The sequence below is a fragment of the Homo sapiens genome, chromosome 2 (genome assembly GCF_000001405.40).
Source record: "Homo sapiens chromosome 2, GRCh38.p14 Primary Assembly".
NCBI lineage: Eukaryota > Metazoa > Chordata > Mammalia > Primates > Hominidae > Homo > Homo sapiens.
In genome coordinates, this window is record NC_000002.12 from 211,374,685 (window position 1) to 211,398,290 (window position 23,606).

General features: G+C 35.0%; 1 protein-coding gene across 11 annotated transcripts in view, besides 1 other annotated feature; it reads right to left on the reverse strand.

Annotated features, from left to right (window-relative positions):
* The window catches only part of ERBB4 (erb-b2 receptor tyrosine kinase 4), a 1,163,086-nt gene continuing 1,140,512 nt past the window's right edge, over positions 1,033-23,606 (reverse strand). For 7 of the 11 annotated variants that reach the window (NM_005235.3, NM_001439005.1, XM_006712364.4 and 4 more), the window contains 3 exons: positions 13,261-13,308; positions 12,169-12,466; positions 1,033-9,376 (listed from right to left, as the gene is read on the reverse strand). In NM_005235.3, coding sequence (NP_005226.1) covers positions 8,931-9,376; positions 12,169-12,466; positions 13,261-13,308 — 792 coding nt within the window. In that variant the 3' untranslated portion in view covers positions 1,033-8,930. The remainder of the gene's footprint in view (positions 9,377-12,168; positions 12,467-13,260; positions 13,309-23,606) is intronic. The other 4 variants (NM_001042599.2, NM_001439006.1, XM_017003581.3 and 1 more) reach the window with 1 other exon arrangement.
* Positions 15,431-17,749: an enhancer, noted in NCBI's record as "VISTA enhancer hs1578". NCBI's record gives its function as "enhancer in: hindbrain (rhombencephalon)[4/5] | midbrain (mesencephalon)[4/5] | forebrain[4/5]" and the evidence as "EXISTENCE:transgenic organism evidence [ECO:0001131][PMID:17130149]".

The following is a 23,606-nucleotide window of genomic DNA, read 5'->3' on the forward strand; positions in this document are numbered from 1 at the left end:
TTAGTAAGTAGTATAACTGCTATAAGCTAGCAGCATGGTGCCACTGGAAATTTCAATTGTACCTTAAAGCATTAGGAACACAAGTTGTTTCTCCTCCCTTCTCAGTTTATAGTTGTTTAAAATGCATAGTGCCCTGACATATCTTACCCTGAACACTATGAAATCACAATGATTTCAGATGAAAGGGCCATAATATATAAGGGAGGGTATGTGTGCAGGTCCATGCAAATAGCAGGTGTTATTAACAAGATCTTTGAAGCTCCACAATTGAACAGGTTTAAGAAAATTTACTCCAATATATTAGGCTGAAAATATATTTTTTGTCCACTGACTCAGTCATCATTCTATACAGTCAAATAACCACAGTAGTTTCAAAGAATAACAGAATCTCTAATCAGAAGTTATTGGAATTTTGAAATTCTTACACTTTGGAGGCATGGAGTAATCAATGATGTTTAAAATCAAAAAGTTATATAATAAGAAAATGTTGAGAGAGGATCTTGTTCATGTCACCAATGTCTCTGAAGTCACTCTCACACTGTTATGTGGGCTTGTCATAAGTCACTAGTCAGCTGATTGACTATTTAAGGTCTTATTCTCCCTCCCCCACCTCAAGGACAGTAGTAACATCTGATATTCTTTATAGCCAAGGATTGCCAGGATCCATTTTATAAACTGCAATGAGGGCAGAAAGAAAAAAAGTATATAAAAATATTAATGTCGTTTGGATGCAACCTACAAAATATTTTATATATTTTTTTATTCTCAGAGAAACAAACCAACCAGAGTTAATTAAGCATAGCATGCACAGATGAGTAAGTCTGTACACATCAATGGGCATATGCAGTGGATGGTAAAAACATATGGAACATATCACATCCCAAACACCAAAGAGTTCTGAGGAATAACTAATGAGCTGCATAAATATGGGCAAAATAAGCCCATTTTTATATCTTCACATTATTAAACCTAGAACAAATCTTCCTCTCTGCTAGTTGGCTTATCTAATAACAAATTTCTGACACAAAAGAGAACGTTTGTTTCATATTTTATTGAATTTCATTTATATTAAATTAAAAATATATTTCTGACAGATTCATGTAACAAAAAGGCAGAACAGTTTTCAAATTGTTCAGCTGGGATGATCAGTATGGAATGAGGCAAAGCAGTTCGCATTCTATAATTGCCTTGTACAGGTACAATTCTTTCCCAAGAGCCAAAAGAGGATCCTTGAGAACTAACGGAAAAGCCTAATTACATAAATGTAAAATACTGTTTCTCCCTCATTCTCAAATAACAACAGGAATGAGGGAAAGGAAGGAGGATGGGTAAAAGGTTGGAGGAGAAGAAAGAATAAGAGAAAGTATACTAAAAATATGCCTAACATTAAAAAAGTTAGTATGTGTTAGGTGCATGATCCTTCATCAATAACATGGAAAAAAATCAAAATAACATTACACCACACACAATTGGCATATCCTATTGTGTAAGCGAGTGCAGAGGTTGAACACATCACAATAGTGCTGAACACAGAATCACAAGTAATGTCAAAATGATAACTTCCAACCAAAAAAGAAACAATCACAGGCCAATTACTTATATACAAATCAACCCTAAAGACAATTATGTTCCAAATAAAGATGTCCACAAAAGAAAATCAAAGCAACATTATACTTATTTACAAATGCAACTAGCCATGTCTTTAACAAGCTATAAAAATACTATTCACATTTTCAAACATACAGTAGTATTTTTTGTTTGTTTATTTCAAAAAGGCAGCTAACTTTGAATGCAGGGATTTAAATAAAACATTGATGGCTTACCAGCAAGGTATTTTTGCACCCCAATCCTTTGAAGATACTTCACAAGAGAGAGGGCTTGTTTTCTGCTTACAAGTTAAGAAAATAAGGAAGTGAGTACAAATGTATACACCTTAAGCCTCTGCCTTTTCAGTAAAGTGACTCCCTCTCTCACCCAAACTGATGTCAGTAAATTACTTTGATGCATGTATAAGATGAATGTTTGAGAGTAGATTTAAGATGACTTTTTTTGTGCTATGAATTGTCTTCCACATTGATCTCATTTTCATTTGATCTTCTTGTAATGGTGCTCAAGAAAGAGATGAACTAGTCATACACCATGGGAAAATGCGGTTTCAGCATGCAGCCACGCAATCCCTGGTGCTCTCAACATGAGAAGGAGACACACCAGCCAGGGAGACAGGCATTCAAAGTTAGCTGCCCTCACACAGCTGCTCCGTTTAATAATCGACCCATTTAACAGCAGTACCAGTTTATGCTACATATTTCAAAGTACCTTACTTTAAAAGAACACCTTACATATCTACATTTAGAAAATAACTTTCGTAGTTGATTACTGGAGTAATCCCAAAAGGGTTCTTGGAGTGCTATGGTTGTAGTCCCCTCACTCCCCCCTCCCAGCCCCTGAGAGATCCAGAAATATACAGGAAAATGACTCTCACATTAAGGGAAAAGGACAACCCCCAATTAACTAAAAAATCTGGAAATGACATTTGAAAACCAGATTCGTGTCAATATACAGGAGGTATGATTTGCTTTCCTTCACAAAGGCTATAGGCCTGGGGGAAATATCTACGCATTGGGGATAAAAATAGCAGTAAAGGCAAAGTGGTTTGGACAAGTTAGACTATTGCCTACAGGTATGAATCTTTGTTTTCCTATATTTGTATATTTGCACAAATATAACCACTTCTCATGATATAGGGAAAGCTCACTAGAGCATGAAAAGAAAAACGTCCATAAAGAGCAAAAGTAGGTAAAGGATGGCATTCTATTAAACAACATGGATTTTCATTAACATGAACTGTCCTCATTATGTATTTGTTAGATGGATGAATGATCCAAAAAAGAATTGCAGGTGGTTATCAAAGCTGAATAGCCTTTACCTTTATGATAATAAGACTCCTCATTTGGGAGAAAAAAATTTACAGCAGCTACAAAATATTTACGATTAGGAACCAAATAAGATGAATAAAGCAAATAAGTTAATTTACTGGCAAAAATAACTTCTTGGTTATATGTACAGCTTTTATGTAAAGATTAAATCGAAGTTCTACCAAGTGTATGTGGACATATGTGAGTTTCAAGATTCATCACAGGGCTAACTCGTCTCAAATTCCTATAGGGAAGGACACAGAGAATTGATCTTCATGGGAAACCATAATTTTAATAGCTTAAATATTCTCTATGCGGTAGTTTGATAGTTCACTTAAACAGTGTCCAAATTGCTAGAATCTCTTATGAAAAAATCAGGCATTCGAGGGCAAAGATGAAGTCAGTGTTTCACAAAGTGGGGTGTAGGATCTCAGAGATCCACTATGGCTTAAGAAAGGAACAGGACAGCATCGGGGGACTACTTTGAACCAGGGTGGTAGAAAGGGAAGAGAGCAGTGCCAGTTGTGTCAATGGGCAAAAAAGGGAAGGATTCTATTTTCCTCTAAAGGTCAGAGAGAAATACATTTTTCTTTGATTCCTAACAAGGTAATCACTTACTTGCAAAGCTGACTGTCAAAGAGTATTTTCCAGAGGAAGCATGTGAATACCCCCCGTGAAATTGGGGCTTAGAGTCATTTTAGCTTGTGACTATAGAAGCATTTACTTCTGCCCAAAATGTCACCTGGCCAGGAATTAGGTGAGGCAGGGGCCTGCAAAAGTGACAGATCCTACATTTTTGGACCTCTACAAAATCAGTGAGACTTGAACCGAGTATCTGAAATTTCTATTATTTTAGAGAGACTTTTAATGAAAAGAAAAAAGCAGCTCACACTGCTAAAAGATATTTGCCCACACAAACACAAGGGCCCCTGGCCCGACACAATGCCCACAACAGCTTCTTGTTTCCAACTGCAGAGAGAACTCAGATCTCTGGGATCAGAAAAATTTTATTAATTCTACCCAGAAGTATAAAAACTGGCCCCATTGTAATATCAGTAATAATGAGGTCTCCACTGATAATGATCTTTTAAAATTATGCCTGATCTCATCTGTATAATATTTGTTCTTAAGCAAATAGCAACCAGGCGATACCAATCTGCATTTATATGTTTACATGGGGCAAGGCTGTCCTTCAAACTGATACACACCGAAGTCCATGTACACAAACAGAGGCACAGTAAGATCCTCTGCCCACAGTATATACAGTAGAAGTTAATTTATCTGTTTCTTTTTTTTTTTTTAACAACTAGAAGCTGATGTTGTAGGATCAGCTCTAGGATCCTCTGCCCACAGTATACAGTAGAAGTTAATTTATCTGGTTTTTTTAACAACTAGAAGCTGATGCACATGGATTTCTCATTTGCCCTATAACAATCATCATTCTAATAACTAAAGTCCAAAAGAATGGCAATGCAATAGTTTGAAACGCTTGGTTTAGCATTTATTTATCAGAAAAATTGTGATTCTTTGTTGTCATTTTTGGAGGCAAGAGGGCATAGTGAGAAAAGAAAGGACATATCACCAATTAACTGTATTTTGTTTGTTTGCTAGCTAAATGACACCACTCCTTTTTTTTTTTGTCTCTGCATAAGGTAATAGAACATTTACATTTTCTTTACTTCATCTTGAAGACCCTTACTTAGTCATATGTAACATGTTTGCCTATTAAATTCTGCAAGGTGGTGTTTATTTAAAAAAATAAATAAATACAATTTTCTTTACATTTAAAAAGTGATAAAGGAATAAGAGAATGAGAAAAAATTGTTCATTGTAATGCTTTAAAGCAAGTTTTCCCAAGTGGAACCATATATGCCTACTTTCAGCTAAACCCAACAAACAACAATTTTAAATGGCAAACTTATCTTTTTACTATGCAAAATCCATCCTACATTTTTATATCCTGCATTTAACTTTGTTACATTATACTTGTGGTTAGTTTTCTAGTTTGATTTATTTAATAATATTAAAATCATTTAACATCTGATAACCTAACTAAATCTACATCTTATAGCATTATCGTGGTTCTGTCCAGTTATATACATGCTTTCATGATCACCTTTTCTATTACCTTATGAACTACATATACTAGTTAAATTATCAACAATTACAGATGGATGAATAATTCCAGTTTTGAAATAAAGGTTAGAGAGCTCTAGAAAAACTTGTATTTACATCCTTCCCTGTCAGGCTTAAACAATTTTAATTTTCTTTTCATTTTTGATACTTCAAGAAGCACATTAATAGTCCTTCCAACTTCATCTAGTAGCAGAGCCTCACACAGTCCTTTTCTTGATTTTTCCTTAGCATTGTAAGTATGCACAATCTTCATGCCATGTCTTTCCTTTAGAAGGTATTAGCTCACACACTATAACACTTAAACACTATTCCTTCTCTTAAATTAGATATTCAGTCCTTCTCCCTAATCTACAAAAAAGAATCACTTGATTTTAGTTTGTGTGTTTTAATAGAAATTTGAGTTTTGCGTTGTTTTTCATGCTATTTTAAGAATGTTACTGGAGAAAGGATTCTCATCCTAAGCTGTGCTACTAATACTATGCAGAAAACCAGGAGCTGCTTGGTAGTCTAACACCTTTTGTGGTGCAGATGCTTTGTGGTTCTGGATCTATCCTAGATCAGAGGCCATCTTTCCTCACCTGTTTACCACTTTCTTTAGGCAATCATTTAACTGCAAAATTTTTCCATACCTGCCCAAAATAGGTATAATCTACAAAGTTGGGTGATTTAAAAAATATACTCCGTGTAATTTTAATACTAATTTGTCTCAGATTTACATAATTGATTCTGCAAATTTCAATTGCTACAATTGGCCTCTGGAATCTGATATCCCCCCAAGCACTTTGAAGACTTTAACTGACATTTTAAAATTCTACCCTACTGGACTAAATAAGTTATTCTCTGGAAGGAATGAAACTTTTTTTCTCCCTCTTATACATGCTGAAATATGTTTTCCCAGGGGGGACAAAAATAAAACAAAAAACACTCAAACAACTGAAGTCAATTATATACTACAGAAATCATTCAAAAGAATTATAAAGTGGTGCTATTATAAAGCATTTGGGTCATTTTGGATTATTCCTACATGCATCTCTAGGTATTACCCAACATGTAGAAGTCTTGTGTTCTTAGGAGGAAAGAGACATTCACTAAATACATTTCTGTTACCTTAACAGTTAAAAGTTTGTTTTAACTATTCATTTTTTCCTTCTCCAAAATGAGTGATTCTGCTTTCTATAGCCCAGTAGAAACCATATGCATATTGTAAATCAGAAAAAAAAAATCAAGGTATAGTATCCAAAAAGAGGGCTGTGATGACTCGATGCAGATTTATTTAGAAAGGGAGGCTTATATTCAATTTTTCATAAGTACTGATATGAGATCCCTTTTCCTAGAGACTTCTCTGAATGGATAGGAGAGCCCTGAGCTATTAGATTGTGGCCCCTGAATCACTCTGTGTCTTTACCCCTGAAAAGTTTGAGGGTGAACTTCACTAGAAGGAATCTCACAAACCCTTCTCCTGCTCTACCATACTTTTTCAGCTCGCCTCACTTCTTATAGCTTAGAAAAAAACCAACTCCAATGTCTCCAATATTCTTGGCCAAGGACCACCATCTGCTTTTGGTTTAATGGTGAAGTTAGACTCTAGATAGGCTAATTAGTCAGTGATGCAATATTCTCCTAGACCAGTTTATGTTTGAATAATATTATTGAAATTATCCTGTTTGTCAACATCAACAATTTGAAGGATGTTTAACTTATATCCCAAATGAGTTTAAAGGAGATATCTTACAGTACAACTGATTATATGACAGCTATTCACAAAAGAGACTATGCAATCTGATTGTTGGAACGCATAGAAAAATTAAAATGTCATTTTAATTAAATCTCCTAGATCATAGAATTTTGAAGTTGAGGATGATATTCCATTTATCTGAGTGTTCCCCACAAAACATGGTGCTTTTAGTAGACACAGTTAGATAAAGGAGGTTTGGATGGATGGATGGATGGATTTACTTGTTCAGAATAGGAAGAAACACAAATTTCTTTGGATTTTTTTCTCTAAACTTTCTCTGCCTTAATAGATATTTTTACTCTAATTAATTAATCTTATACTATTGATTCTAATTTGGTCCCAATATTTTAACATTAGAAATATTTTTTAAAAATCTAAATGACTTGGGGTAGAATTTTCAGAAAAGGGCGACTTATATCTAAGTTTCCTAATTATTGATGTGAGGCCCCCTTTACTTGGAGACTCATCTCTGTCATTTGTTCTCATCCTTCATCTCATCAGGTATTCTTTCAAAATGATACATAATAATGATGGTTCTAGTACTGGATGCAGTATATGAAGAAAGGGAATTATATAAAGTATCAAAAGATTAGTGTGTTGGATAATAAAATAATTGCATGAGAAGATGTTTCACATTTATTTACAACTTTTGACCCAAGGACCTATCCCTAAGCTTTGAATGTTTGTGTTTTTCTTTTTATTATACCAATTTATGTGCAAAGAGTTACCTTCTACTTCATATAAATAGTCTCATACTAGAAATTCCATGGAATTCAAGCCAATCCTTACTCGCATTCCTTCTTACGAAGTATACGAACTGAACAAATTTCCTTGCGTAGCAAAGGTGACATATGAAGATAATGTGCTGGCCTCTCATCATAGTCCCTGGATACCGTTGCAAGGTTCCTAATTTGCTTGGTTTGGCATTTCCACAGTCTTTATCTTAGCTCTTTTTTTAAAAATGTACTTAAATTAGTTAATTTGCTGGTTGCTTCCATATTGCTTGATTCAAAATCCAAAATGGAGTTCAGAAAAAGAACAAATAAAATTACAGCTTAAGTGCAAACTACATTTCTGAGTATCTGCCAGGTAGACATACCCAATCCAGTGTGTTTCTTCCAGTTCAATGGATTCCCTCATTGGGCCACCCCTGAAAGTATCAGTAGTTTTCCTGAACCACAGAGAACTGTCTCTTAGTTTCCCTTCTACTCTTCAGACAACCAACGGCCTATCAAGTAGTGTCATTTATGGAGAAAAAAAAATGTTGAAAAATGTAAAGGATGAGGGTGAAGATAATTTGATAGCATGAAAAATATTAGCCTCCCTTTCTTATTTTAAAGATTGTATACTTAAAGTAGTGGCCATTTCACTATATTAAAATATTTCTTGCTTAAATTCTGTGAAGAAGCTTTGATGTAAACATCTTTGCAATTAGAAATTAAAGCCAAAAATAGGGGAGCAAATATAAAGGAATCGGTCAGAGCAAAACAAAATGAAAAAAACCAAAAAGTGTTGAAAACATAATTACTAGTTATAACTTTAATGGAGATTTTTAAATTATGAAAGTTGAGTTGGCCATTCTTACTTGCTAGGACAGAAACTGCTGGGGAAAGAAACTGGATTCTCAATTTCAGACACCATCATATGTTATAGAAAATGTTATTCTTTTGTTCTAATGGAAACTTTATTATGATTTCCAGGGATGCTAAATATGCACACATCAGTTCCTGCAGATAGGAACAGATAGCATGGGTGTTTCAACCATCTGCTTTAAAAAAAAAAAAAAAAAAGAAGAGGAAGAAAGAAACAAAGAAAGAAAAAGAAAAAGAAAAAAAGTGACAGCTAGTTTGATAGTAGGCAGCATTGCCTTACATTTTCTGGTCCTTCTCTAGCTGTTTCATTCTCCTGACCAACCCATGCAGAGAAATGAAGAAACATTGTGGTTCCTCCTATCTTTCTCTTTCAGTCTTTCCCTCTAATGTTCAAGTTAGGTAAGCACATAACTATCATTGCATCTCTGTATCTTCCACTGGGAAGTGTCAAAACTACTGGCCTTGGGGTAGAAGGAAGACCACCAGAGAAAGAGAGGGGGGTGGGGAAATTGGAGCAGGTGTGTCTCTCCACCTAAAAAACCACAACTGAGCTTACACCACAGTATTCCGGTGTCTGTAAGGTGGAGGCGGCAGCACAGTGCCTGGCTTCAGGGAGAACTCAGAGAGGTATTCAGGATTCTCTGCCACAATAGGCCGGATCCGCCCATTCTGTTTATAAAAATATTTTGTGCTGTACTCCTGCAGGTAGTCTGGGTGCTGAAGGGTGCTCCGAGGTGGCAGGCTGTGGTTCCAGTAGTCAGGGTTGTCAAACGCTTTCTTGGCCTTCTCTGGCATTGACAGTATGTTGTTCTTCAGGTACTCAGCTTTTCCCAAGGTGTTGGCAAAGGTGTTGAGGTACAGTGGCTCATTCACATACTCATCCTCGGCCTTGGGTGGACCATTGGATGCATTGTGATATTCGGGATTATCCAATGCTTGAAGGTCTCCATTTTTTCTCCGAGAAACAAAAGGGTTCTCCTCCACTGGATTCAGGTATTCTAAAGGAATAAAAAAATATCAGCTAACCTCTAGTTTCTGGAAAATATTAATCAGACCAAGGTTATACATAATGGTTAGCTTCTTTGTCTAGAACAAAAAAACCCACAGATTTGTTTTCATGATTTCTCACAACAAGTATTTGTGGATCACCATTGTCTTATGAAAAAAAGAGTAAGTGGGTCAAAAATGTTTATAATAAAACAAGAAGCCAACGAGGCCAGAATCAGAATTTCTATCTCCTAAATTTTTCTTTCTTTCTAATTGCATTTGTCTCTTCTGCATATGGGGCTGGTTGTTTCAATGTTTTTGTTTTCTAAAAGTTATTTATATTAGGAAATAAGACTACCTATTAGGATTAAATAGTCTTTAAATATACAGACAACTTAACTTCTATAAAGGATATTGAAAAAACAAGAATCTATAGCTGAGTTCCATGCCAAGATGAATAGATGGAGTGAAGAAATCATGTTTTTTAGTCTCTATGGTTTGCTATGATTGCCTATACTGGTAACAAGGATTTAATTGGAGATGCTTCTGAAAAAGGTTTTACACATGGAAAAGAAAGCATCAAAGGAAAAAAATTCAACTAAAAAAGCAAATCTAACAGATAGCTAACATGCCTCTAGTTGACCTGCTTGACATTACATATACTTCTACTTAATAGTAAAGTATAATTATAATATTTCCATTGACCAATCATAATCACAAAGTAGCAAACTATCAGCTTGAATTATATAAAATAAAATAAATTTTGTATATTGAAACCAGTCAATTAGTGCCTATTTTGTACGGATCAATCTAATAAATCCATCTAGTATAGGTATTGGCCTAAAAGGTGCTAATAATTATCACCATTCTCCTGAAGCTTAATTCCACATCTATGTCTATAATATAGACTGCACATAGACATAAACACGCATGTATTGTAAGTCCTCTGACAGTCCTCTCTTTTACTATATACACAAAGCCCTAAGCTATTCCTATTTTGAATTCAAGGCATGAAGAGGGCACAATTCTTTGTTGAGAGGCCATTCTGAAACAAACTTTCTGTCTTTTATCCTTAGCCCAATAAGTAGAGAGAAAAATCCTATTAAGTGAGGATTATTTTTCTCCAAATATATATATACAGAATAGGTAAGTATTTAGCATCATTTATTCAACTTAAAGGGCAGTAATGAATATCCCACTATCATATATAGGCCTTTACAAGACACTATCATTTCATCCTCCCAATTCTGTGAAAAAGAAGTACAAGACTTATTTTTCCAGCTTTGTAGACAGAAAAATGAGATTAAATGATGTGTGCAGGATACAATTAGTGTTGGGATAGAATTCAGGTCTTCTAACTCCTCTTGCATAATCTTCTTATTCTACTGCACTGTTTTTTATTATTGCCCCTGCAGGAGTTGGGTGAACTTTATGCTTAGTAACAAGTTTTAATTTGACAAGTGTATGAAAACATTTATAAGGAATGCAGAATTTGGTCTCTCTTACCAGATTCCTTAAACTTCTTAATTGAAAGAATAGGAATGTCTACACTAAAATTCTGTACTCTCTGAGTACGAGGTTAGACTATAGCAACCTTTTATAGAAACGGAGCTTAGTGTTCAGAGATAAAATCTGAGAATACAGTGTGACTCTATAGGGTGACTTGCTTTTCTCTTCACCTTACCTTTCCTCAATGCAATCTACTTATATATTGTCCTCATGCAAACTTATATAGCTGTCCAATAACTTTACGGTTGGAGTGAAAATCTCCCCAGAAAAGATTCTTCTTTGGGGTGAATCTGCCAAGTCTTCACAACGTCTACATTTGTGTCATTACTAGGCTACTATGAGCATCCAAACTCTTCATTACATTTTTATATGTATAGAAGTTTTAGATATGTAAAAATTTTATCTAGACAGATATATTTTAAAAGGTTATTTACAATTAGAGATCTCTAAATTTTACTTTAAAGGAGAGAACATAACCATATACCAGGCCCTTCTCAGAGTCTTAAAATGTAGTTTACTGTTGACACTAAAGACTGCGAGAGACATGATCATCATTTTTTAATAACAATCATCTATCTTCTCTGTTGTGATACTGTTAGCATAGAAGAAGAAAGGCTGTTTTGTTGCAAAATTGAAGCATTATTTGATTTGGGTGCTTAACATTTCTACTACTAACTTTACAAAATTATTGTTATGCTTTGTAAAACCACAGATTATTATTTTCAAATCTTGGTGGTATGCTTGTAAGTATATACAGGGTCAAACCTTTAATTTTTGAAAAACGTCATATAAGAACATAATATTTTCCTATAATAAACTAGGTTGTTTAAATGTCATCATTTAAATGAGTCAAACAAATCTTTTATTAGTGCCATCAAAAGCATCAGGCACTTTTGCCAACAATACCAGTCTTTCTGATCTCCGCAATTAAGTCCAATAAAGCTATGGTCCTGACACTTTGTAGTATGCTACTTCATTCAAATATTTCAACAAAATATGTTTAGAATAGTGCTTCTCAAGACTGATTGCTGTATGCAGATAGCCTGGGGATCTTGTTAAAATCCAGATTCCTATTCAGACGGGGCCTGCCTGAGATTCTGATTTATATAAATAATAATAAATAATGTGGATGCTGCTGATTCAGGGACCATACTACAAGTAGCAGTAGCCTAGGCCTTTACTGGATCACAAATGTTGTGCTGGTCAGCTATCTGGCAATTTCTATTCTGTACTTTGTTTATCTTGATGGAAGTGAACTTCGAATGGCGATCGTTTCTGAATAATCAGTTCATACCTTGTTTGGGTTTGTCTCGCATAGGAGTCATGTAACCTTCCTCATCCAGCTCTCCTCGTGGGCTCCGTTCTGGGGCAAACACGGTGGGGTCAGCACTGTACCTCTGGGTGCTACTGTCCTCTTGGACATGGGGTGCCACTGGCTTGCGTAGGGTGCCATTACAGCAGGAGTCATCAAAAATCTCAGCAGTAGCACCCTGTGCCACAGGAGCTTCTGGAATTGTGCTAGTTGGGGCTCTGTAGGGCACAGACACTCCTTGTTCAGCAGCAAAACCTCCATCTCGGTATACAAACTGGTTCTGTTAATAAGAGAAACATATGTGGAGAGAAGGCGTTGTTAGAAATAGTTTAAAAATGAATGTTAATAGCCACAAGGATATCAAAGCCAGTCTTTCAGAGAATAGTCATAGTATTTACTGGTTTTTTTTCCCCTAGTGGCTAATGGAGTTACAAACTATAAACACCTAAAATTTCCACTTTTCTTAAAAGATAAATCATCAGAAAATAATTTTGAAATACACATTCTAGTTTTATTAACCAACTGAAACATATTCTAATAAAATGTATTTGATGCCCTTTTCCCACAAGTGCCTATATTTAATACAAATTTCAAAGTGAATTTTTATGATAAATGCAAGTGTCATTAATTATAGACAGTTGTCATTAAGAATAGAAGTACATGGATATATTTTGAATAATCCTATGTCTTTATTCCCTTCGAAAATTCTGTGGTTATTATGAATTTGAGGCTCTAGTACCTAACTAGAGGATCATCACTATAATTCTGACTTTTTAGTACATGACCAATAATCAGGGAAGTAAAGATCACCTCCACATCCAGAAGCATAATTTATGTGCCCAGGTAAATCCTTCAGATAAAAATTGAAAGCTACTGTTGATGCATGATATCTCAATTTCGGATTATCAGCTGAGATAAAAACACATCTACAAAGGCAGCTACACGATGTACACCAAATTCTTAACTCACTGTTGGCAAAGGCAAAATGAGGAAATTATGCAGAGACGAGAGAGGAAACATGGTAAGCAAAGACCGAAAATCCTAAAAGATGAAGGTTGATTGTGAAATACTTACTCCTGACATGGGGGTGTAGGCAGGAGGAGGGCTGTGTCCAATTTCACTCTAATAGGAAAGAAAAATGGAATGATGGATATAATAAGAGGCAATATGAATGAAAAAATTAAAAAAAGAAACGAAAAAGAAAAGCCACATGGGTCGTATGAACCAAAGGGGAAAAAGTGCACAACAGTGAAGCTTCCTAAGCAGCACAATTGTATGCATTCTGACCATAAGCAAGCTTATTTATATGTTTTGAGGAAAATAAATATTTTAATTCAATCCCTGAAAAGGAAAATTGTACAGAAAAAGCAAAATTTTTCAATGGATTAGAAAAGTAAATAATAAACATTCTTCTGATTAACCCTAGAGGAAAGGAAAAGTAGTAAATGAACTATAGCTGTAAATGGGAAACAGTTTCCTTCTTTACATGTCAAAAGATTGAAATGGCCATATTGTCTGCTGTTATTTTTTCTCTTAGAATAAATGTTTCTGGAAGGAGATGGCAGGAGATTTCGATTTGCCTGGACTAATTTTTGCTATCAAGCTACATTTATTTTTCACCACTTCAGCAAAAGGTAAACTCCTTAGTCTCTCCTGATTAAAAGGTATATGCTATTTTATCTTCAGTCTCACATTTTTTTTGTTTTTTTTTTTTAAGTTAAGAAAGAGCAGAAAATTTGGAAAATCAATTCCTTTCCTGAAAACATGCTTTAGATTCCCCTTATGGTATTTATAATGAGTCAAAATCAGATTTCAGTTAAAGAAACAACAACAAAAATACATCTGTATTTTTATAGCTTAACGCTCCATCCTATGGGCTAACTGAAAGAGGATATAAAAATCTAATAAAAGATGAAGGACAGTGTTCCTTAGGGTAAGGAAAAGGAGTTGTATAATACTAATTCTGTTTCTTAATACAAAAATACATTAAACACATTTTTTGAGAACCTACTGTCTATGTGCCAGGCACTTTTCTAGGCACAGGGATAATGCAAAACACAGACCCAAATCGCTTGATTTTATGAAGCTTATATTCTCTGCGATCCAGCTTTAAGTAAACAGAGATGACTAAAATAAACCTCTAAGATACCTTACATCTTGTTTGTTTGTTTGTTTGTTTGTTTGAGATGAAGTCTCGCTCTGTCACCCAGGCTGGAGTGCAGTGGTGCAATCTCGGCTCACTGCAAGCTCCGCCTCCCGGGTTCACGCCATTCCCTTTCCTCAGCCTCCCGAGTAGCTGGGACTACAGGCACCTGCCACCACGCCTGGATAATTTTTTGTATTTTTAGTAGAGACGGGGTTTCACCATGTTAGCCAGGATAGTCTCAATCTCCTGACCTGGTGATCCGCCTGCCTCGGCCTCTCAAAGTGCTGGGATTACAGATACTTTACATCTTTTAAATGAAACAGATAAATATTATTCCAGGTCAATGTTCATATGATTTAGATTCATGAAGCATTCTAAGAAGAATATGGTCCCATGGAGATTAAGTGTTTAAAGTAAGTCAATAACAACTGGATAATATAATCTCCCTTAACTAACTTAGTCTGCTGGACTAATCAAGGGACATGGTCTGAACCCCTATAGTGAGGTTATATCTTAATTTTCCCTACAACTATGGTGGTATTAGAATATTTATCTATTTTCTTCTTTAGTAACATAACTAACAACACCTCAAAGATTATGGCATGGAAAGTCAGAGATATATTTAATATGCAATACATAGGAGGTGCTACTATGCAACAGACAGATCGTTTAATGACCTGGGCTCCAGTTCCAATGATAAGTGGTGTGAATTTGGTGAATCATGAAACCTCTCAGACCCTCATTTTCATTCTTGGCCTCCCTATTTTATTATTAATAAATATGAAGTAAGATAATGTATATAAATGAACTTTGTAAACTCTACACTATTATAAAAATGTAAAGGATATATCAATCACATTTAAATATTCATATCTACTAAATTGAATTTTTAAAATAAAGCAATCAGGATGCCAAAGCTACTCATCAGAGGCATTTTAAAATGCTCACCTGTTCTCTAATCACCTTAAATATAGGCATGTTTTACTATATTTTAGAAATACCTGAAATCCAGTACATTTGTTCATAAAATTTGAGGAAAGTATTTTTTATACTCCAGTGATTTGTAATATAGAGTGATAGTACAGGAAATATGGAACTGCCTGGTGGAACTTTACCAAATTACAAACACTGGCCTTACCCTCATCATTAAACACCAATTATTTGGCAAGTATTTAACAAATATTTACTAAATCTCTACAGTGAAAGCACAGGCACTGTGGTAGATGCCAGCAATACCACCATATATTAAGAAAGACATGGCCACTGTCCTTTGAGAATTTGCACTATCAATTATAATCTAAGATTGTTAGAAGAAAAGGCAAGAATGAAACAAGGCAATTTATTTCAAGTCTATGGTTATATATTAGAATGCCAGGTATTCCAAAATATTCATAATTACTAGTGCTCCTTTGACCTCTTACCTTGCAAAAGTTGCTGTACTGGGTAATGTTTGACTAGAATTACAGCTGAGAAATGAGTATTGATTGCACATTTTGCATTTTACAAAACCTGAGACGTAAACAATCAAAGGAACAACTTACAAGTCATTCTTCATCAGGGAACAGTTTATTATCTATATTCATTATCTGGGCTAGAATGGCTTCCATTGTAAAGGCAACGGATTAAAACAACTGGGACTCTTGCGGTTAGTCTGTTCCAAGACATAAAGCGAGGCCATGCCCTATTAGAATGCATCCACTGTCCCTGCTTTGACAAGTCTTTCAGTCAGCAACCTGCCAACTCTGTATCTGGACAAACTGCCAAATAGCATCACAGTAATAGGAGCATCTTCATGAATTTTCCTGTTTTCAGCATTAAAATGGAAAAAATGCTAAGCAAAACCCCTTTAGCATTCATTGTTTTTAGGGCTACTGGCTGCTTTTTTTATGTTTCTGTTTCCATTTTTTCAGTTTGCTTTTTTATCTGTTTTCCATGATAAAAAGCACCTCATTCACTTCCCCGTGGAAGGGCAATGCAGCTCCAAGGGAACATCTGTGAGGCCAATTAGCTGGGCTGGAAATGTGATATAATTGTTGTTTAAATATATTTAAATTACATGTTAATCACGATGTCATAATTTATAAGCTTTGAAAATAACTTTTTGTACTTGAGAGCCAAGCCAGATTTTACTTGTTTTTGCTGTTTTTAGTTTGAAACCAGCTCTTCTCATTTCTCTCTCCCTCAATTCCCCACACTTGAAGAGCTGAACTTTTAATATTGGAAAGAATGACAGCTGCAAGTAAATTGGTTGAGTAAAAATTAAGATCCTCACAGCAGTCAAAATGAGCTGGAGTGACCTTAAAGTTCGAAGCAGAACAAAGCAATGCTCTCAGTTAAAAGCTTTTGTTTTTCCATTGTGCTACTTTCTGCTGTCCATCAAAGTCCAGCTTTGCAGATCTTTAGGAAGCAGCACTGGGTGCATCTGTTCAATTAGCTGGTGAGGCGATTTACTGTCAGCAGGGCAGAGATAGAAAGAGGCGGGTTAGGAACTGGCAGGTGATACTGAGTTTGTTCCTGGTGGGGGGGTTTGTAAGGGTGATGGATGGAATGAGTTTAATTCTGTGGCCATATCGCTGGGAGATTGTATGATTAACTTGGACTTAAATGCCAGAGATTAAAGAGAAGGCAAGTATCAGTAAATGAATCAAATACGGTATTAAATGCACTTTTAAATACATCATGTTCTAAAATTTACTTTTTAGTTGAATGATAAATATTAGAACCTTTGTCTCATATGCACAGTATTTCTTATATTTGTATTATTTAATATTGTTCCTGAGAAATTTTATTTATTAAATAGATGGACTGTATCTTGTGATATTTTTAAAAATTATTATACAAATCTACTTTCGGAGGAAACAAAAATACAGGCCTAATGCCTAGCTTCTATCTAAATTAAACAGGTGATCAATGAGAGTCACTTTCTAATCTTTAAATAATTATTACTTTCAATAGTAATTATAAGATTACAATTTCTAGGTTCAAGAAATACTCCAAATTCCTTTGACTAAAATAAAATGTCTCTGTAAGACGTTGCTAATCCATCAGCACTAATTTATTATCCAGACACTTCCACATAGTAACTATTAAAGGTTCTCAACCTTTTATCCTCCCTGACATATCTGCTTAACACTCTGATGAGCATCTCCACACTTTCACAGGTCACATAGCAACATACAGAAAATGTTTATTGCATTATGTTATAATTATTGCATTATAAATTATAATTCCTGATGCATGGTTGTAACTCTGCATCTTTCTCACAACTGAGTTCAACATACCAGTGTTTTGAGACGTTTAGATTTAGGACCTTCATTTTTCACAGGGCAATCAGAAGGAAACAAACAGAATGTGTCCATATGTGCCAAACCCAATAATGGCTGGGAAAAGCCTACTGAGATTTCAGCTGCTGGCTGAATTTTATATATATGACACATAATGTCTTTTGTCTATTTATGTATACATATATTTATTTATTTAGTCATTTTTCTATTTGGTTTGATTCTGTGGGACTCTACTTTTTTGAAAAAACTCTCTTACTCCACACACACACACACACACACACACACACACACACACACACACCCCAATAATGACTCTATGATCCAGTTGAAGAAATATTGACTTGGGCTCTTATTCTTTTTTGTTGTTGTTTGTTTGTTTGTTTTTCGAGATGGAGTCTTGCTCTGTTGCCCAGGCTGGAGTGCAGTGGCGTGATCTCGGCTCACTGCAGTCTCTGCCTCCCGGGTTCAAGCAATTCTCTGCCTCAGCCTCCCGAGTAGCTGGGATTGCAGGTGCCCACCACCACGCCTGGCTAATTTTTAGAGACAGGGTTTCACTATCTTGGCCAGGCTGGTCTTGAACTCCTGACCTCATGATCCACCTGCCTCGGCCTCCCAAAGTGCTGGGATTACAGACGTGAGCCACCGCGCCCGGCTGGCTCTCATTCTTTATCCACTCATTAATCTTGGAACCTTTCATCTTTCATATATGTCTCATGTACTCATTTAATTAAAAAATTGAACAAATGGAAACTATGAGTGGTATCTGTAAATATGAACAAGAGTCAAGACAGAATTTACAAAGCATATGGAAATGCTGTCTTTTATAATGCTTAATAATCCTGCTTTTCTTAAGTCAGTCCTCAAAGTCTACTTTTATTGTGTTTCATAGATGAATACATGATAACTCTTAGGGAAATTAAGAAATAGAAAGAGAAACTAATATATATTATGTACCTACCCTATACCATGGACTATTTTAGGTTTTATTTATTCTTATAAACTTGTAAGGTAAATAGCATTATTAAAAATTATAACTCCCATTTTATAGACAAAAAAATTGTGGAGCAGAGAAATTAAAGGATCTGCCATGTGCACACATCCATAGTTGGCTATCTGACCACATAGCCCGTCACTCTATGACCTTAACATTATACCACACATAGATTTTGACTTTAGCATTTCTATTCTTACTCATCTTTGCCCTGTCTCTTCCTTTGCGTTATGCCTCAACTATTTTCTCAAACAAATTCTTACAGTTTCTTTCTCTAGTTTTAGTGAAAAGAACTTAATGACTTAAGGAGGCATCTGAAACTCATTATCTTAAGTATAAAATGCTGATAATGTGTTACATTACTGCTCCACCCCACTTATTTTCACTTAAATTAGTTACAAGGACATAAACTGGAAAGAAGGAAACTTTGAGTATTAAGAGTTAATAGCGTGTGTGTGTGTGTGTGTGTGTGTGTGTGTGTGTGTGTGTGTGTATTTTTCCATTCTTTCCTACAAGTCCTTTTTATCTAAAATCATGTTGTGTATATATACATTTACCTACCTCACCAAGAGCAAAGCCAGCCCTGAAGCAGGAGGAGACAATTTTAAATAACTGGAGAGCACAAAGATTTTTCATGACAGCACTCTTGCTTATGGATTTATTGTTCCTAGTACAAGGCTTAGTCAATAAATTCTTCTTCCTGCTTGACTGAGGGTAAGTAAGCTATTGTATCCCCGGGCAGCAATTCCTATGCCCTTTCCAAATATCAGTAGAACAAGAGGATATTTCCTTTTAAAATATTCATGGCTAAATGAGTCAATAAAATGAAACTGAAAATCTCCCTCACTTTACAGGTTCCTGCTTTAAGTTGCTGCTTTGAGCAATAGTATGTGATGGAATCAAAGAATGTTATTAGCACAGTCAAAAAAGAAAGGGCATAAAGAAATACAATTTTCCACTAATGCCAACATTGCTTAGCTTCATTCAAGATAAGCAACAAGAATTGTGTCACCCTTCTTGAGATGAGTGATCACACAGAATTGATCTCTTTACCCTGGTGCAAGTTCTGCATTTTTGTATTGTTTGGTTGGTTCTAGCAACTTTCTCTTTTTTGGCATGTTTATATTCATTTCCATTAGCATGTTGTCATAATTGAACCTTTTCCTCATGATCACTTAGCTACTAGCTAATGCATATAGCCAGAAACCTAAAGAGGAAAACTTCTAGGAGTTTCTCAAAGACTTCTCAGTAATTCTTTTCAGTTAGAGAGGGTAGGCTCTTTTTCTTTCTTTCTTTTTTAATGTATGCTTAAGAACATCTAGTTCTAATGCAATGTCTTTAAGAACAGAAATGAAATCATCAAGCCTTTTCGATGTGTAAATTCTGGAGTAGCCTAACTGATTCTTCAAATGAATCGTGAAGTTGTCTCTGCTTGTGTGGTTTTTATCCTAACCTCATAAAGAATATCTGATGAAGATTTTTCAGGATGCAAACAATGCACTGGATCGGGCAACTTTTTTGAAGACAAAAACCCCACAGACCTAGAACAAATGGTCTCATGAAATCCTTCTACCTCCAGGATTGTATTCTTGAATAGGTCTCACTAAGTCACATGACTTTTAACAAATTCCTTAGTTTCTTGGTCTTTTAGTTTATTTAATCCTAAAAAGAAGAATAGGGGTATAGGACAAGTAATAGAAAAGATCACTTCCAACTACCAAAGGATTTACGTGTAAAATAAATTTTCTGCCTCAAGCCCACACGATTAGTTATTAAATATTGTAAAATGTGATTAACATTAAAGCAAAGTATCTTATAAAGTTTTCTCTCATAAATCTTTTCAAAGTCGACTCATCGCTTTTTCTTTCCTTTTTAAAGTGGACTATCTTGTTCAAAGTATCACTTAGGCTACATGCAGTATATGATTGTATGTTTTGATGAGGCTGAACCACATTTGGATGATGACTCATGAAAATACAATTTTTTGAAATAAAGTTTTATGATTTAAAATGTTTATTTTACAGATAGAGACTCTGACACTCTGAGAGGTTAATTTTCCAAGGTAACAAAAGTAGTGACGGTACTAGCAACAAGATTCCCTGAGTTCCCATCCAATGTACAATCTGTTATACCTTAGAACCTCAAATTAACTTTTAATAAATAATAATAAGCATCCTTTAGAGGTTGCATTTTTTATGTTTTTCAGAAACAAACCTATTTATTTTTTAAATATAGCTGAAAGCATTGGCCTTAACCAAAACATTTGTTCTAAGCTGAAATACATATTAATATACGCAAAGTAAATTTAGTGACACTTTAATTTTAAGACAGATATTAACTTTTGTTATTGAATAGGCTATAAGACGTTTATTAGACAAATGGGATAATTAATATGGCCATACACATATTAATTAACATATTAGTTAAAAGTAGTATTTATTAAAATGGTACTTTGTCTACAAAACAGGTTGCCCTTCACAGAGAAGAGATATGTTATCTAAACACTCTACCTATAAAAGCCAGTTATTAAAAATCGATATACACATACATGCTTATTGTCAGTTGATATACTTTTACCTTCATAATATTTATATCTGCTACTTGATATACTTTTACCTTCACAGCATTTATCTCCAGATCTGTCTATGCAATAAGATACTGTTTAGGGATTAAAATAATTGTTAAAAATAAGTAATCTATAAGGCAGGTTTGAACTAAGAATAAGAAAAAAAAAAAGACTATAAACACTTTGAATTTGAATGCCATAACTTTAGAATTTGAAATGTAATGTCTTTGCCTAGATATAGTTCCTTTTGTACTATCAGCGAAGACTTAAATCTCAATTTTAGGCTCTGTGTATGTGTGGATACATATGTTAGATATATATATGTGCATACACATGTATATGTATTAATATACATGCTAAGAAAATTAATAGCTTAAAACAAGATAACAAAGGTTATGTAACCCATACAATCAAACACATCATATTTTAGAGGCTGTTAACTCATTTGTGGGGCAGCTTTTGTTTTGTTTTTCTTATGTTTCACATGCAGATATTGTTTATCAACAAATGAGTGATGTTCACTAAAAAAAAACCATGTATAAGAGTTCTACTTAGAAATATTTGTTACTCTATTTAGAGTTTAGAGTTATTTACTGGCAAATAATAAGGCAACAGTGAAATATTCAATCTTCTCTTTAGTAATAACCCAAGCTCAGGATGCTTTATTATATATTCAACATTTCAATAATAGTATTTAGAGCAATCTATGTGTGAGAATGTAAAAAATATGAAGCGCACGGTTTGTGTATTGGAGGATGGAGAACAAATAATATAGGAAATAGAACTGCAAATGTTATAAACCTTATTTTGGCACGTAGATTTTATTCAGTGTTTTAAGTGATAGGTGTTGGCAACAAGCAAACAATTTAACGTAATACAGATAAAGCCCTTCAGTGTTCCTATAATTGCAGTGTGGACCAGGTTGAAAATATCTTCAGTTATGCTAGTTTATGCAAACTGTTTACCAGATAAAAAGTGAATTTGTAACAATGGTTTATTCATCCAACTACTGCTCTTTAAGCTACCAGGTGGCACAGCTGTTGCCGTAAGTAAAAAGATTTCTAACAGTCCACCTGGAATTAGGACAGCTGGTTCCTGTGAGCTGATCTGAATAATGTACTGTGAATACTCTGGTACAGCTACTGACAGAACAAACAGCACATGACTGTCCCATCAGCCCAGAGCAAACACTAGTTACATTTGACAGAAACAGGCTGGTATTTACAACTGATCTAGGCCAAAAAGAATATCAGATTGAAGGCAACACCCCAAGAGAAAATAGCCCTCCCCGAGAGCTACCTGTTGACCATAGTCTAAGCAGCTTTTGCCATTATTGAAAAGCCCCCAAATCTGATTTTGCTGCATATAAAAAGGAAGAGGAAAAACATACAAAGCATTCCTGCATCTATTTGTGAACCATTTTGGAATTTTCTAAAATAAAAAAATGGCCAATACTTCTTAGTTTTCCATTTACACGGTTGCTGCCAAAGTCAACCCAGATTAGCCAGAATCATGGCCATAATAATTTTCTTTTAATTTCTAAAATTGTAACACTTTACTAAAAAAATGAAGCAAAAAATGAAATGGAACTAAAACTAGAGAATCTCATTTAAATCTGCCATTGGTACCACAGATGACCCATAGAGACGGTAAATGACTTTCTTCAGGATGATACAGCTAGTTACTAACAGGCCTAATTAGAAAAACATCTATCGGCTGAGGATCCTTAGATTGTCCACCTGAGCCAAGGACAGCCGAGGTGAAACTCTAAAGCAGGCAAAATCTGATCTCAGTGTTTCCCCACTAAGGTTGATTTTGCAGTTTCAGGCCCGTGATTCTTTATTCCTAACAGAATTATTTCTGGGCCCATTTATTTCTGCCCCGGCTCCGTGGAAAATAGGACTGTATTGTCCTCCCATTCCAGGTGTACAATTCTTGATCAGCAACTCACACTCCAAAAACATCCTCAATTATCTATACTTTTATTTTCTGCCCAGAAACATGCCTTTAGCCAGGCCAGAGGGCATCTATTTAGTCTGATGAATTCATTCGTAAAATCTTCTCAAATTGGTCAAATTGGTGTTAGTAGATTATGATGGAATTACTTCAGGGAACACTGAACTACAGAATACCACGTCATACCCATATAACTAACAGCTGCCCTGATAATCTACACTGATCTGTTTCACAGCATTTCAAACATCACATTTCTTAAAGTGAAATGGCCATCTTCTTCTCTCCCTGGCCTGCTTGTCTTTCTTTGCTTGGTGAATAATATCAATAACTTATCCAGCTGTGCAAGTCAAATATCTTAGTGTTATCTTTCATGTCTCCTCTACCCCACTCCTTATAGCTAAGCATCCAAGGTCTACCCTTTCAAACCTCTTAATACCCCCAGAATCTAACCATTCTCTTCATCCTCATGGCCACTAT